This window comes from Homo sapiens, chromosome 2 (genome assembly GCF_000001405.40).
Source record: "Homo sapiens chromosome 2, GRCh38.p14 Primary Assembly".
In the NCBI taxonomy this organism is placed as follows: Eukaryota; Metazoa; Chordata; class Mammalia; order Primates; family Hominidae; genus Homo; species Homo sapiens.
Window position 1 is genome coordinate 88,437,798 of NC_000002.12, and position 15,944 is coordinate 88,453,741.

The following is a 15,944-nucleotide window of genomic DNA, read 5'->3' on the forward strand; positions in this document are numbered from 1 at the left end:
CTTGAGCCACCACACACAACCCAAATTTCATTCTTAAAATGAATTTATTTTTTTTCTTTTCTTTTTTTTTTTTTCTGAGACAGAGTCTTGTTTCGCTGCCGAGGCTGGAGTGCAGTGGCACGATCTCAGCTCACTGCAAACTCCACCTCCTGGGTTCAACTGATTCTCTTGCCTCAGCCTCCTGAGTAGCTGAGACTATAGGCACACGCCAACACACCTGGCTAATTTTTTTGTATTTTTGGTAGAGACAGGGTTTCACCATGTTGGCTAGGCTGGTCTCGAACTCCTGACCTCAAGTGATCCACCCGCCTTGGCTTCCCAAAATGCTGGGATTACAGGCATGAGCCACCGTGCCCAGCCTAAAATGAATTTCATTCTTAAAATTAGATGACTGGGTGTGGTGGCTTGGTGTGGTGGTCTGTAATCCCAGCACTTTGGGAGACCAAGGCTGATGGGTTGTTTCAGTTCAAGACCAGCCTGAGCAACATAGTGAGACCACCTCTCCCCCCGTTTTTTGTTTGTTTGTTTTTGTTTTTGTTTTTTTGAGATAGAGCCTTCCTCTGTCGCCCAGGCTGGAGTGCAGTGGCATGATCTCGGCTCACTGCAACCTCCGCCTCCTGGGTTCAAGCGATTCTCCTGCCTCAACCTCCCGAGTAGCTGGGACTACAGGCATGTGCCACCATGCACTGCTAATTTTTGTATTTTTAGTAGAGATTGGGGTTTCACCATATTGGCCAGGCTGGTCTCGAACTCCTGACCTCAGGTAATCTGCCCACCTTGGCCTCCCAAAGTTCTAGGATTACAGGTGTGAGCCACCACGTACCAGCCCTACCTCTCCTTTAAAAACAAATTTTTTTTTTTGAGACAGAGTCTTGCTCTGTCGCCAGGCTGGAATGCAGTGGTGCAATCTCGGCTCACTGCAACCTCTGACTCCCTAGTTCAAGCAATTCTCCTGCCTCAGCCTCCCGAGTAGCTGGGATTATAGGCGAATGCCACCACACCCAGGTAATTTTTGTATTTTTAGTAGAGATGGGGTTTCACCATGTTGTCCAGGATGGTCTTGATCTCCTGACCTCATGATCTGCCCACCTTGATCTCCCAGAGTGCTGGGATTACAGGCGTGAGCCACTATACCCAGCCAGGAAAAAAAAAAAAAAAAATTTTAAAGAAAAAAAATTAGATTCTCACTCCCATTCTATTCTGTTCTATCCCATTCTATTTACTTAATGGGCTTTGCAGACCATAGAGCCACCTCCCAGCCTCCACTTCCGTTCCCTGTCTGAGACTCTGCTGTGGGCTGGCCTGCCTCCCTGGGCAGCTTCTTCCAATTCTCCACAGGAGCTGTGTTCTTTCATGTCCCGGCCTCTGCATGGCTTCTTCTACCCACACTTAGTCCTTCCCCTTAGCACCCTTTGTCTGGCTAACCCCTACTCAGGTCAGGGTGTGGGGACTCTCCCAGAGAGTCCCACTGCCCCCCACACTTCCCTGATCAAGGCACTTGTCACCCTGCTGCCAGCCCCTCTTTGCTCCCACTGGAATATAAGTGCCATCCTTACTGGGGCATTGCTTTTGGCTGTGTCTCCCAGTAGGTATAGTAAGCATTTAGTAAAAATCACTGAGCTAATGAAGGAACACTAAATTCAGAAACATCAGAATGAATCGTGATGCTGCCTCTCTAGGGAAATCCTGGCATGTAAGCTGTTAAAAAGGAGGATTACTGCCACACAAGTGCTATCCCCACAACTGCTTCAGTAATGGCAAAACCCTATCATGGTAGGACACATGTGTTCTCACTAGTTCCTGAATCAAGAAAGGTTCATCTAGCGGAACATCAGCGCATAATCTGAGCAGGCTATGGAAGAGGCTGGGGCCCATGGCTGACTTTACTATGATGTGTGGCTGGCATCGTTGGCTGCATGGCAGTTAATCCCATTGTAGGAAAGGTTTTTAAAAGCTTTACTTCAGTGGCAATCTTCTGGCTCTTACCACCAGTCTGTGGGAAAAGGTGCACTGTAACAGCTGCTGTGAATGTTTTCTTACTTTCCCAAAACCTAGCAAAGGGGGAGAGGAGAACTTGAAAGTCTTCTACCTAAGCGAATGCTGGGGGGCAACTGAAGGGTTGATGATCAAAGACTCCAGGTGTTTGGCGGAGGCTCTCAAGTATAGGAGGACACAGGGTAGGTATGAAAATGGGAAGGGGGAAGTAGTGTGTCAGGAAATGGAGATGGCTGAGTTCTAAATCCAGGCTAAACACAGCCAAAATTCTTGAGATTTTACCCATCTTATAAAACTAAAGGAGAAAGATAACTTTGTCTGTTTCCTCTACCCAAGAATGCCAGTCTGGCAAGTGGGGTGTATCATAAACAAAAGTCATGGGAACATGGATGCCCTGAGCATCAGTTTCTCCAAAAGAGGAGGAGGAACTAAGTACCTTTCTCTCAGGATCAATACCACAGTGATCTCACTTAGACAGAGGCTTTTTCACAAACTAGGATGATGGCCAGGCACAGTGGCTCATGCATGTAATCCCAGTATTTTTGGAAGCCGAGGCAGGTGGACCATTTGAAGCTGGGAGTTTGAGACCAGACTGGCCAACATGGGGAAACCCTGTCTCTACTAAAAATACAAAAATTAGCCGGGCCTGGTGGCAGGTGCCTGTAATCCCAGCTACTTGGGAGGCTGAGGCAAGAGAATCACTTGAACCCAGGAGGCAGAGGTTGCAGTGAGCCAAGATCATGCCACTGCACTCCAGCCTGGGTGACAGAGCCAGACCCTGTCTCAAAAAACACACATGGATGGGATTGCCCTTGAGTGTGGCTGGGTGAATCACATCATGGCCCTCACAGGTCCCTCATGCCCTGCTGGCTTCTCACCTCCAGAAATCATCCTATTTATAATATTTGTATTTTGTTTTGAATCAAAGGCTTAGTTAAGGCAGAAAAAAAAAAATCTATAAAATGCAGCCTGAAGTGAGTTGGTGGGGGTGGGGAGGGGCTAGGATGTTCAGGGACAGCTGTTCTGGAAAACAGGCCTTACAGTTGAAGCCAGGCCAGGCACGGCACTCATGCCTATAATCCCGACACTTTGGGAGGCTGAGGTGGGTGAATTGCTTGAGCCAAGGAGTTCAAGACCAGCCTGGGCAACATAGTGAGACCCTATCTCTATTTTAAAAAAAAGAAAAGAGTTGAAGCCAGAGAAGACATGTGGCATTGAGCTCTTGTGGCAGAAGGAAGAATGGCAAAGACCCTTAAAAAGACAAGTTTGGGATGTTTGAGGGGCTACAGATGGTGAGTGGTTGGGAGCGTGTAAGGCAGAGGCAGGAGGGGCAGGAGCTATGGTTCATGCAGGGCCACAGAAGAACCTGGGAGTTTGCTCACCAGTAGACCATTCCAAAAGGTTTTAAGCAGGAAAACAATATAATCGTCTCTATATGTATAAATATCACACTGGCTTCCGAGTGGCGACTGACCTTGGAATAGTAGAAAGGAACGAAATGTGAACAGGAAGGAGCCAAGAGTTGCGGCTGGGAGCCCAGGGAGGAGGCTGCCATGGTCCTCCAGCCAACAGAGGCGGTGATGGCGGCTGAATCCCTGAGATGTCATGGAGCAGTTCTTGTTTCAGGCTTGAATGTGGGGTGTGAGACAGAAATAGAGGAAGCAAAATAAGAGTTAGTAGGTGTTTGGGATGTTGATTAACTGACTTACCTGGTAACTGCAGTTGTTGATGAATGAGTGGACTTCTCTTTCCCGTGAGATTTCCATCCTGGCGGCTATTTGCCAAGACTGCTACTCTGTTCTTACCTTTCCGTAATACAAGGCTAACACACTCACTGCCCAGCGTTGTTGGACAAACAAAATGGAAAATGGATAATACTGATGTCAATCTTTCTGAGAAGAGACAAGTGGAGTAGACACAGAGGCCCTTCTTGTTGTTTCGGTTAGGCCAACACACAGATGAATGTTACCCCTCCCATCAAGCCTGTGGAGTAGATAGTGCTATCATCATTTCACTGAGGGGAAGACTGAGGCCCAGGACTGAGTTTGTATAACTGGGGTATGGCCACAGTGCTTGTGAGTGGGCTCAGGTGTGCAGAGTTGAAGGTGAGTGGTGGTAGAGTAGGGTCAGTTGACATAATCCTTAGAGATGGGAGGGAAAAGAGGACACAAGGCTTGTTAATGCCCTGCTTTCTAATTCCAGTACAGAACAGAGGGACCCCTGCACTGTGGTTTACTGAATGAGTTTCAAGGAAGTAAAGGGGGGTGGGGGGAGTGGGGAGACTCCAACACACTCCAACAAAGGAGGTAGCCTTGAACCTCCTTTGAAGTGCAATGCAAAGAAGTCAGTCTCTCCACACAGGACTGGGGTTGAAAGCTGAGAGCCAGGAGTGTAGACACTGATACTGATGCTGATGCTGACTGGTTAGCTTGAATAGAATGTGCCTGGAGGCTGGAAGGGCTGAGGGAACTGACTCTAAGCATGTGCAAAGGCCTGAGGCCGTGAAGCAAGTTCCGCATGACTTGACCCAGTCGCTTCTACAGAAGCACTGTGGCTTTGTACACCCGAAACCATCCTGGTCTGTCTTCTCCCAGCAGAAGCTGCAGCCTCTCGGCCAGACCTGGGGAGCTGTCCTCTACTCTTCCAGGAGGTTAAACCATTTTGTCTCCCATCAGAGCCTCATAGCTAGGTGGGGAAGCTCAGAGCAGCCCCAGGGATCCTCTCTGTCCTGGGTACATCTGTTACTGCCCTGCGTCATGCTTGCTAAGGGTCTGTCTCTTTTTCTGGGTAGTGAGCAACTTAAGTCAGAGAATGGGTCTTAGTCATCTTAGTATCCTCAAAGCCCAGCCCGATGCATGGTGCCCACAGGAGATTTGCTGAGTCAGTGGATACACTTCTTGTGAGGCTCAGGCTCCCAACCAGCATCCCCATCATCTGGCTTTCCTGGGCAGCTTCAGAGCATGAGACCTGAGCCACTGACCTGGCTGCTAGCTGATCCTGAGGAGGAGGACATGCCAAGAAACAGCGACTTCCCTTCCCGTCTTCACAAAAAGGAGCCCCAGATCCAAAATCCAACCTCAGGAAGCATACAGAAAAAAATGCCTGGAAGGAAACATTACTGAATTGGGGCGGCAGGAGCCTGGGTTCCAGGCCCAAGTCTGGAACCAACAAACTGTATGGCTTTTGGCAAGTCACTTAACCTCTCTGTGCCTCTCCCTTCTCCACTTTGAAACAGAGAGGCACTATTGTAGGTTAAGGTCAGGAGGACTCTGACATCACACGGCCTAATTTTGAATCCCTGTTACACCACTTACCTGCAGCAACCACTTAGATCTGTGACCATGGCCCGGTTATACAAACTCCCCAGACCTTAGTATTCTATTGATGAGATGGATAATAACAGTATCTATTTCATAGAGTTGTTGGGATGTTAGTACAGATAGTTTATATTTAATATGTGCTGTAGGGTAGTGCCTGGCACCTGATAAGTGAGTTGTCATTATTGTAATGTTATTATTGTAATGTTGTCTTTTTAAAAATGATGACTGCTATTCATGCCTCCCAGGGTTTTGGTGATGATCTCCTGACATCATGAATAAAAAAGTAGGGAGGAATTCAGTAGGTATCTGGTCTTCTGTGGCCTTTTTTTGTTTTAAAATCTCACAAGAAATTCCTTCTTTTTTCAGCGGAGCCAGCACCCAGCACACACCCCAGCTGACAGCTTTCCATGACAAAGGCAAGACCACCAGGTCTCTAGCCCTGAAGCCAGCAAGTCTCCAGTCTCAGGAAAACATGGGAAGGAGGGGAGGGTTCATTAACAACCTCAAGGTTTCACTACTAGAGCAGCCAAAGAAAATAAAAACCCATTAGACCCTGAGGATTTAGGATCTTTCCAAGTCTGGAAAGTCTCTGGAGGGAAGAGAAGCAGTTTGGGCCTTCGCTCTGAGGTTCAGAGCAAAGCTTGCCCCATTTTGTCCTGGGAGGGACTTGGGGACTTGTGAGCGCCCTCGGGGGATGGAGAGGGTGGTGGGGGGGAGGGGTACAAAGGCACACAGTTCTGAAGCCTCTGGCCTCCCAGACTGCTGTTTTTCCAGTAAGTTCAAGAATGGGATGAAGAATCTAAAAGTGTCAAGAAAGAAATCTGAAACCTGCTTATTAATTCCTCACCTCCTTTGCCGTCTTACTCTGAATGGTTCACTAGGTCCTAAAGGCTGGAAGGCAGCTACTTAAAGTTATAAATGCGCTGCTAAATGTCCTATTATACACAGAACCTCTACAACAGAGAATTATCCAGCCCCAAATATCAGTACTGCTGATGATTGAGAAACCCTGGTCTAGTTAGAGGCAGGTTTCCAGCTATTTCCTTGGAAATGATGGGCTGCATGCAGTCCCCCTGAGGACCACACCCCAGGATGCAGAGCTCTCCTTGAGGCATGAGGCCTCAAAGCACATTTCTTTCTGTAGTAGGTTTTTTGCTGCACTGAAATTCAATTTAATCTAAGTAACAGAACTGTTCATCTATTAGAAATAAACGGGCCGGGCGCGGTGGCTCACCCCTGTAATCTCAGCACTTTGGGAGGCCGAGGCGTGTGAATCACTGGCAGTCAGGAGTTCGAGACCAGCCTGACCAACATGGCAAAACCCTATCTCTACTAAAAATACAAAAATTAGCCGGGCGTGGTGGCATGCGCCCTAGTCCCAGATACTTAGGATGCCAAGGGAGAATTGCTCGAACCCACGAGGCGGAGGTTGCAGTGATGCAGTTAGCCAAGACTGCAACACTGCACTCCAGCCTGGGCAACAGAGTGAGACTCAAAAAAAAAAAAAACAAAAAGCCAAAATGCTCATATGCCTAAAGATCCTCTGAAGAGTAATTGTTTTATTCCAGCCCTTTCAGATGTGGGTAGGTGGAATGAGAAAACCAGTCGTTCACTCTCCCCACAGTGGTTTGTTGCCACGCTGCTCACATCTCTAGTTCTTTAGGACAAAGAAGCTGAAGACAGGAAAGCAGTAATACCCAGGAAGCCAGAAGTGATCCCACTTTAAGTTTATTTCATGTGATTCTTCTTCTCAGCATGCAGTGAACTTTCTTGGGAAAAACTTTTCTTTGCTGCCCCAGTTTACATTATAAATTAATTTACAAATATAGAGTTGTGCTAGAAACAATATTTATATAAGTCCATGATATTTTCATATACAAAAATATCCATAGAAACCGTTTTTTTGTACACATACTGTGGGAGTAGGTAGTCTTTGGTTGTCTTTCTGCATAATGTTAAAAAAGTAATGGTGATGTCATTTGTACCTCAATAAGCTGTTTAGAAAAATAATTTTCTGTATGTATATTTCAAAATAAAAAATTTTTAAAGTAATGCTGTGAGAGTCTCGGGGTGAAAAAATACCCAGGGAATTTTAAATTTTTTTACAATGTGCTTCTGTTCCTGTTTCTAAAAAAGTTAAAACCCCAAACTAGCCATGCTCACATCCAAAAACGTGGTACAAAGGCAACTCATAGGACGATGAATTCATTTTTGTGGAACACCGTTCCCATAAATTTGACAACTACCTGCATTTTAATGAACACTTTTTGAATAAAAAATTTGTTTTTTGAGACAGGGTCTCACTTTGTCACCCAGGCTGTCATACAGTAGCATGATCTCAGCTCACTGCAGCCTCAACTCCCCAGGTTCAAGTGATCCTCCCACCTCAGCCCCCCAAGTAGCTGGCACTACAGGTGCACACCACCACACCTAGCTAATTTTTGTTATTTTTTGTAGAGATGGGGTTTCACCATGTTGCCCAGGCTGGTCTCAAACTCCTGGGCTCAAGTGCTCTGCCCGCTTAGGCTTCCCAAAGGGTTGGGATTACAGGTTTGAGCCACTGCGCCGGCCCTGAATAAATTCTGTCATTCGGCAACTAGTGGATGAGTGTACTGGGCACTCTACTGGGCACTAGAAGGTTGCCCATAAAAATTATTCAAATGATACCTCTGAGAAGAGAGTGCTAAAATAAATAAGATTAAATATATCTTTTTAAAAACTGACCACAAACGGTTTATTGTATTAAAAACTATAAAATCCCATTTCTTCATTGTTTTAAAAATATTTTGTAGACACAGAGTGTTGCTGTGCTGCTCAGGCTGGTCTCAAACTCCTGGACTCAAGCGATCCTCCCACCTCAGTCTCCTAAGTGTTGGGATTACAGGTGTGAACCATTGCACCTGGTCTAAAATTCCATTTAAGAGTTTTTTTTTGGCTAGGTGTGATGGCTCATGCCTTTAATCCCAGTGCTTTGGGAGGCAGAAGTGGGCAGATCGCTTGAGCCCAGGAGTTCAAGACCAGCCTGGGCAACATAGCGAAACCCCATCTCTACACAAAATACAAAAAAACTAGCTAGGTGTGGTGGTGTGCACCTGTAGTCCGAGCTACTCGGGAGGCTGAGATAGGAGGATGGCTTGAACCCAGGAGATTGAGGCTGCAGTGAGCTTTGTGTTTTTTTTTGAAACCCCCATAAAAAAAATTTAAAAAAAATTTAAAAAATTATTTTAAAATAAAAAAATTTAAATTTAAAAATTTACAAATTAAAAAGTTAAAATATTAATTCAAAAATTTAAAAAATTAGCTGGGCATAGTGCACACCTGTGAGCCCAGCTACTGGGGTGGGTTGGGGGAGCTGAGAAGGGGCCACTGTTTGAACCTGGGAAGGTTGAGTCTGCAATGAGCCAAAATCTCACTACTGCACTTCAGCCTGGTTAAGAGAGGCAGACCGTCTCAAAAAACAAAACAAACAAAACAAAACAACAACAACAAAAAACCCACACACACACACAAAAGCTATTTTTAATAAAATTCTAATAATACTTTGTTAGAAAAGGAAACATCCAGGATATAAGCTAAAAGGGAGAGGATGCCAGGCTAACCATTACAAACTAGGACAATTGTCACCCCAGATTTTGGACTATGGCAGCAGGATTCAGACAGAGGTGCCACCCAGGGGAACACACCAGATGACTTTTATTTTCAACTAGAATCTTTGGTCAAATGAGATCTAGCTCCATTCCTTCCCTCTATATACTTATAACTGGCTATGGAGGCTGGTTTCTTGGTTTTGCAGGAAGTAGAATACAGAAGTTACAAGCACCAGCTCTGGAACCAGATTGTCTGGGTCTGATCCTGGCTCCAGTTTACTATCAGTCTCACCTTGGAAAGTGGTCACAACTTTTTTTTAGCCACCTGTGCACATTTGAGCTTGCAATCCTGGTATACAGTGATGACTAAAATAGACAAAGTGACCTAACATCCTGAAGTTTCACTTCCCTTACATGGAAAATGGGGGGTAGTAACAATACCCACCACCCAAGGTTTCTGAGAGGATTAAATGAATACATGACAAGTGCCGAGAACAGTGCCTGGCACACAAGGCTGCTTGTGCCATTTTATTGCCATTAGAATATACCATGTACCAGACAGAGGTGATTTGTGAGCTGCCTATGCATAGCTCAAGGATTTGTGGTGTTGCCTAGGACAGTATGATAAACAACCAAAAAAAAATCTTCAGAGGCAAATGACACAAAGTTGGAGGTTTCCTATAAAAATTCAGATATCTGGCTCTTCTATAAAAATCAGAATGCTGGCTGGGCGCAGTGGCTCACACCTGTAATCCCAGCACTTTGGGAGGCCGAGGCGGGTGGATCACCTGAGGTCAGGAGTTTGAGACCAGCCTGGCCAACAAGGCGAAACCCTATCTCTACTAAAAATACAAAACATTAGCTGGATGTGGTGGCAGGCACCTGTAATCCCAGCTACCCGGAAGACTAAGGCAGGAGAATTGCTTGAACCCAGGAGGCGGAGGTTGCAGCACCACTGCACTCCAGCCTGGGCGACAGAGCCAGACTGTGTCAAAAAAAACCAAAAAAACAAAATCAGAATGCTGCCAGAGGAGAGAAAGAACCAGCTGTTCCCAGCAGCCTTCTACTAGTCAGTCCCAACTACCCTCTACTGCTTCAGTTGCCAACTGATGTTAGTTTTCTCACCCAGTAACTTCGTTGGCTTGTGTTTTTTTAGCCATCTGTACACACTTGAGCTTGCAATCCTGGCATACAGTGATAAACAAAATAGACATGGTCCCCGCCCTCACGGGGCTCACAGGCTACCTATCACAGAAGACAGTGAAACGGATTTCTCTCTGGAGAGGCCCACATGCAGAGAAACCTGTAAAAGCTCGCTGGGTTGTAGCAAGAGTTATCTACTACACCCTCATTACTCCAAGTGTGGTCAAAGGACCACGAGATCACCCAGGAACTCGACAGAAACGCAGAACTCAGGTCCTACCCCAGACCTACTGACTTGGAATCTGCATTCTAATCAGCATGTGTGCACGCCTCAGGTGTGCATACTCAAGTCTGAGAGTCTGCTCTACACCTCGGAGCCCTCTCGGGGGTAGATGAGGCTGTTCACCATGCTAAAGTTGTGGAAAGGGCTGCTGAAGGGGCTGCTTTGCCCCCCGCTGGTGCTGGCAGGGAAAGGGCTGTAATAGGAAGATCTCTGGCCGGTGCTATTGCTGGTGCTATTGCTCAGTTGCAAGGTGTCTGCTGAGGCCTCTGAGATGGAGGTCGGGGAGAACACGCCGCTGGAGGGCAGCTGGGCCCCCTGGATCCCTAGGTGGCGGCTGCCAGGGAGAGCCCGCTGGGTACTCACACTGCTGCTGACACTCAAGGAGCTGAGGCTGCTGAAGAAAGTGTTGAGACAAGGGGTGGAGGTGAGCATGGGTCCTCCAGGAGATGAGGCAGTACTCTTGGTGCCCTCCGGAGGCTCTGGGGAGTGGGAAGGCCTCAGCAGAGTGGAGGGGCTCTCTTCTTCTGGCTTCCCACCCACTCCAGACCCCAATCCTGAGGAGAGCCCTTCTTCGGACTTTGATGTCCCAGCAGCCACTGTGGAGCCATTGCTGGCCTCAGAGCGGCGCTTTCGCTTCCGACGGAAGTTCCCATTGTCAAACATTTTCTCGCAGTTCGGATCAAGAGTCCAATAATTACCCTTTCCTGAGAAGATGAGAAAGACCAAGTTAGAGAAGGACCTATTCAATGCCTGTGTACTCAGCTTCATTTCTGGGAGGAGAGCAGACTCTCATTAGATGCTGACAAAGATGCTCAATTCACTCTAATATTCAAACCAATCCTCTTTCGGGGAAAATGTTACTCTTTGCTTCAGAGAAAAATCCAGAACAAAGATGTTCTGGCCACCTTTACCTCCTCCTGGTGGTGTCTACTACTTAAATCTGAAGACCTAATTCCATTTCTGAGACACTTATAATTAAATCATGTAACACCTTCACTAATTCTAGATCCAAATTGTATGACCTTGCAAAGTCATGGAATTCTGATGCTACTTAAAGTTGAGCGTTAGACTGGGCCAACATAGTGAGATCTCGTGTCTACAAAAAAAAAAAAAAATTGAGCCTCCGTTTCTTTATTTATAAAATAGAGATAAGGATAGTACTAATTTAGTGGATTGACTGTGAGGATTAACTATTTCAGCATAGTAGCTGGCACAGAGTAAGCAGTGCAAAAACAGCACTTAACAATTATTATTCGTTGAAAGTGCATAATTCCCCACCTCTGAGAAAAATGCCCCACCAGACAAAGGCAATTTCAAAATGACAAAAAAAATTATTACTGAGCAACTGTTTTAACCATGCATTGGATGGCATAAATTTTGAGTATGAGGAAGCTCCTGGAATCTACATCCCCTCCTCATTTTGGGCAGGACCTGCCCCTACAAATCCTGCAAATGTTTCACCCATTGGGTAAATAAATTTCAGACACCAGGGCCTCATTTTTCTGCATGTAATGCTAGTTTTGTTCTATTTGCCACAAGTGAGGTAGAAAAGATCTATCATCTTGGAGGATTTTATCTCCCAAAAGCTTTTTTCACTTCTGGCAAAAGAATCCGATGTTTTAAAGTACTGTAGAATGCTTATCTTGTGGTAAGTGCTTTACACGGATAACCTCAGCTACTCCTCACAGCTTTATGGCGATAGGCAATATAACTCCTTCCACTTTTCAGATAGGAGAACTGGGGTGCAGACTGGTTAGTAACTTGTCATATTCCTAAGTTAGCCATGATAGTCAGGATGTAAACAGGCTGGCTCCAGACTCAGCATTTAAAAAAAAAATTATTTATTTATTTATATTCTCTGAGACTGGGTCTCCCTCTGTCACCCAGGCTGGAGTACAGTGGCGTAACCTTGGTTCACTGCAGCCTTGACCTCCTGGCCTCAAGCGATCCTCCCACCTCAGCCTCCCAGAGTAGCTGGTATGACAGGAGTATACCACTATGAATGGCTAAAAGACTCAGCATTCTTGCTGGGCGCTGGCTCACGCCTATAATCCTAGCACTTTGGGAGGCCGAAACGGGTGGGTCACTTGAAGCTTAGCAGTTCGAGACCAGCCTGGATAACATGGGAAAAGCCCATCTCTACATAAAATACAAATTAGCCGGGCACTGTGGCATGCTCCCGTAGTCCCAGCTACTTGGGAGGCTAAGGCAGCAAAATTGTTTGAGCTGGTGAGGCAGAGGTTGCAGTGAGATTGCGCCACTGCACTCTAGCCTGGGCGACAGGAGTGAAATTGTCTCAAAAAAAAAAAAAAAAAACCTCAGCATTCTTAACTAACCACTGGGCTAAGCCGCCTCCACTTGAACCACGTTCTGCAAATAGTTATAGGGAAAAAAATTACATAACTAGAATTTCAATAATATCTCCACCTATCTGGATATGTATATTGTGCCACGTTGGTACCAACTTTTTTGATAAAAAACTAGCCATAGACCCCTGACCTTTTAGAGTGAAGTCTAGAGCAGTTTACACGACAATTTACATGATAATCTTGGGTGGTACAGAAGCCAAATCCAGAGGATGCATCTTCTAGAACTGCATACCCTGCCCAATACAGTAGCCACTAGCCACGCATTATTATTGGGCACTTGAAATATGGCTAGTCAAATTGAGATGTAGTGTAAAATACACAAGGGATTTTGAAGACTTAGTACCGAGAAAATAACAAAGAATCTCATTAGTAATTTTAATATTTGTTATATGTTGAAACAATATTTTGGATTATTTAGTTTGTATCGTATTTCCATTGGAGAGTGCTGGTCTACAGTGACTTCAGGGATGAGCTCATTCTGAGCTCCAGAATAGTCACATAATTTACACAAAATCCTGGATCTCTGTAATGTGCAACTAAAATGGTTTCATCTCTTTTCTCTTTTTCCTATCACAATCCCCTTTCCTTTCCTTGTTCTGGGTTCCTTCTGAAAACCTCAAGTAGGATTCTCTGTTTCTCTCTTCTTGTTAATCATTTCTCCACCTCTACCTCTCAGAGAAGGTTAACACTCACTCCACTGTAACACAGACCTCCTCACTCCAGGAGCAATTGGGCTTAGACCAGAACGCAGCAAATATGGGATATTCATTTCTAAATTTCTAACTAGTTAAGGTACCCAAACTGCAATTTGCAGAACCTCTCTGCTTAAAGTTCTCCCATCCCAGACCCCCGTCTCATGATGCCCGTGCCACTATCTCTAGAGGTAGGCATCGTACTTGCTCTATTCAGGACACAGCGAACCTCTCTGGAACCCGATGAGGAGGAAGTGCACCTAGGGACAGCCGGGCTGGACCCCAGTTCTCCCACCGCGTCTTCTGCGAAACGTGATGGAAATCCCAGCTCACACGGATCCCTTTATAACCATCCCTTATCTGAGAGCTCCCTTGTAAGTAGACCCTCCCTTCAAAAGGCCTAAGGAACACCACCCAGGGGTAGCCTTCTGTTCTGGGATACAGATTTTTTTCGTTTCTCTAATTGGCCCGCCTCTGCGAATGTGGATGTAAAGGTCAAGCTCCTTTCTCACTGAGTCTTCCTTCCGAAGATCTCCTGCTCCTTCCCTTTGTCCTCTGGGTTGGGTGGTTATTCCTCCATCCGCTCCCACCCGCAGCCTGGACAAGAAGACTCCTGGCAGATCTTCCAGCCGCACACCGACCCCTGCGCCGGCCCTTGCGACCCGCGTCCGCCCTCCCCGGCTGGGAAGCACCTGCCAGCGGCCCTCACCTGGGTCGTCCTCGTCGCGGGGCACCTTCTTGAAGCAGTCGTTGAGCGACAGGTTGTGGCGGATGGAGTTCTGCCAGCCGGCCTTGCTGCGCTGGTAGAAGGGGAAGCTATCGGCGACGAACTGGTAGATGTGGCTGAGAGTGAGTTTGCGCTCGGGCGCGCTCTGAATGGCCATGGCGATGAGCGCCGAATACGAGTAGGGCGGCCGCACCATCTTCATCAGGTCCTCGCGGCTGGCCATGGACAGCCAGCCCAGCTCCCCGGGCCCCGCGGGCGCGGCGGGCGAGGCGGGCGCGGCGGGCGCGGGCTGCGCGAAGGGCCGCTGAGAGCAGCCGAAGGTGCCGGCGGCAGGCGGTGGCTGCAGAAAGGGCCCGGCCGCGGCCCCGGGGGGCGGCGGCGGCGGCGGAGCGCCCAGGTACGCGGCGGCGGCTGCGGCGGCGGCGGAGGGCGGGCCTCCCACGCCGGGCCCGTTGAGCCACAGGTAGGGGTTGGCGGCGGCGGCCGGCGGCGCGGCGTAGTCGGCCAGCCCGTAAGGCGCCCTGGCTGCCGGGGGGGCGCCCGGGGCGGCGGCGGTGGCGGCGGGCGGGGGCAGGCCGGGCTGCGAATACACTCCGAAGTTGTCGCCGCAGTAGAGGGCCATGTCGGCGGCCGTGGGCGGCTGCGGCGCGGCCGCGGCGAGGGGCGAGCGGGGCTGGTCTCGCCGCTCGGGCGAGAGCATCCCTTTGGGGGCCAACCCTGCGGCTCCGCCTTCACCCGCGCTGGGCGCCCGGTGCTCCGGGCCGGGGTCGGGCGGGTGCTAGCGGAGCGCCTGCTAGCCGGCCTCTTATAACCGAGCCCGGCGCGGCTCCTCCTGGGCCGGCCCGGAGCGGGGCGGTGGCCGCGGGCCTGGGCTCTCCACGCCCCCGCCACGCCCCACCTGCCCGCGCGCCCAAACCCGGAGCCCGCCCGCCCCGCCCCTACCGCCCCTCTGCCCGGGCCCGGGAGCGTCTGGGAGGCCGGCGCCTCCAGGTTTCGGGCAAAAAGCAGCACCCCATTCCTAGCCCACGTTTCTTAACATCATAATAAGTAAAGCCACGAATATTAAAGAGAAGATAACCCGAACAGTACGAATGATTTCTAAAAAGTTAACTTGGGGTGGCCGCTCGGGCCACCTGCCTAGTCATCCTTTTGGCTTTTCTACCTCTTTCCTCCTAACCTTTTGTGATCGAGTCGCGGAATTCACGTCCAGTCTCAACCGATCGGCTTCCAGTCGAAAATAATCGATGTGATTTACAACGCTTTGGGGTATACGGTAGAGGTTATTAACAGGCCCGCTTGGCGTGTCCCCTTCTCCTCGGGGATTCTGTGATTGGAGGAACGGAAATCAGTGTTGAGTTTTTCTAACCAAACTGTAGGTTCGCTCACATTCGGGAAGCATTTATTCGTTTTCTGTGCGGTTTGTACGGGCTTTCGTTGTGATTTGTTATCTTCAAAAACATAAAGGTGAATGTTTTCAAAGACATTTAAATAAGTACCTTCGGAATTAGCATTTTAAACCCGAAAGTTTCAAAGTTTTAAGTAATTTAAACTGTGCAAGAAGCGCTCATTTACAAAAACAGCCTCATCTAACGGGCAGGTCTATGACTTGCCCTCTACTTTTGCTAAGTTTTTTAATGCGTCTCCCTGCCTGGGAAACAAATAAAACCTGTAAAATACTGTGGCGACCTCACGTTCCACGTAATCATCCTCGATTGGCTGGAAACAACAATATGAAAATTGTTTATTTTACTATTAAAAGTATTCCTAAATGTGTTCTTAATACGTGACAGGTCTGAGGTTTTCATTTAACCGAGAGGGAGAGGGCAAA

At 47.9% G+C, this 15,944-nt stretch overlaps 1 protein-coding gene across 1 annotated transcript, besides 3 other annotated features; it reads right to left on the reverse strand.

Moving 5' to 3' along the window:
• Positions 3,997–4,497: an enhancer, noted in NCBI's record as "H3K27ac hESC enhancer chr2:88741313-88741813 (GRCh37/hg19 assembly coordinates)". NCBI's record gives its function as "activates a minimal SCP1, AML or CMV promoter by ChIP-STARR-seq in naive H9 embryonic stem cells {active_cell/tissue: H9 hESC(naive)}" and the evidence as "EXISTENCE:reporter gene assay evidence [ECO:0000049][PMID:30033119]".
• Positions 5,921–6,554: an enhancer, noted in NCBI's record as "OCT4-H3K27ac-H3K4me1 hESC enhancer chr2:88743237-88743870 (GRCh37/hg19 assembly coordinates)". NCBI's record gives its function as "activates a minimal SCP1, AML or CMV promoter by ChIP-STARR-seq in naive and primed H9 embryonic stem cells {active_cell/tissue: H9 hESC(naive and primed)}" and the evidence as "EXISTENCE:reporter gene assay evidence [ECO:0000049][PMID:30033119]".
• Positions 6,555–7,188: an enhancer, noted in NCBI's record as "H3K27ac-H3K4me1 hESC enhancer chr2:88743871-88744504 (GRCh37/hg19 assembly coordinates)". NCBI's record gives its function as "activates a minimal SCP1, AML or CMV promoter by ChIP-STARR-seq in naive H9 embryonic stem cells {active_cell/tissue: H9 hESC(naive)}" and the evidence as "EXISTENCE:reporter gene assay evidence [ECO:0000049][PMID:30033119]".
• Positions 8,990–14,896, reverse strand: FOXI3 (forkhead box I3). Its single transcript, NM_001135649.3, has 2 exons — positions 14,099–14,896; positions 8,990–11,032 (listed from the first exon to the last, which is right to left on the reverse strand). Exons 1-2 carry the CDS (start codon positions 14,736–14,738, stop codon positions 10,410–10,412), a joined length of 1,263 nt encoding a protein of 420 aa, NP_001129121.1. The 5' UTR covers positions 14,739–14,896; the 3' UTR covers positions 8,990–10,409.
• Between the last annotated feature and the right edge of the window lie 1,048 nt (positions 14,897–15,944).

Coding starts and splice junctions, on each gene's coding strand:
- FOXI3 (NM_001135649.3), bottom strand. CDS start 14,738: ATGGCCCTCTACTGCGGCGACAACTTCGGAGTGTATTCGCAGCCCGGC. Junction 11,033..14,098: donor CCGCGACGAGGACGACCCAG/GTGAGGGCCGCT, acceptor TCATCTTCTCAG/GAAAGGGTAATTATTGGACT.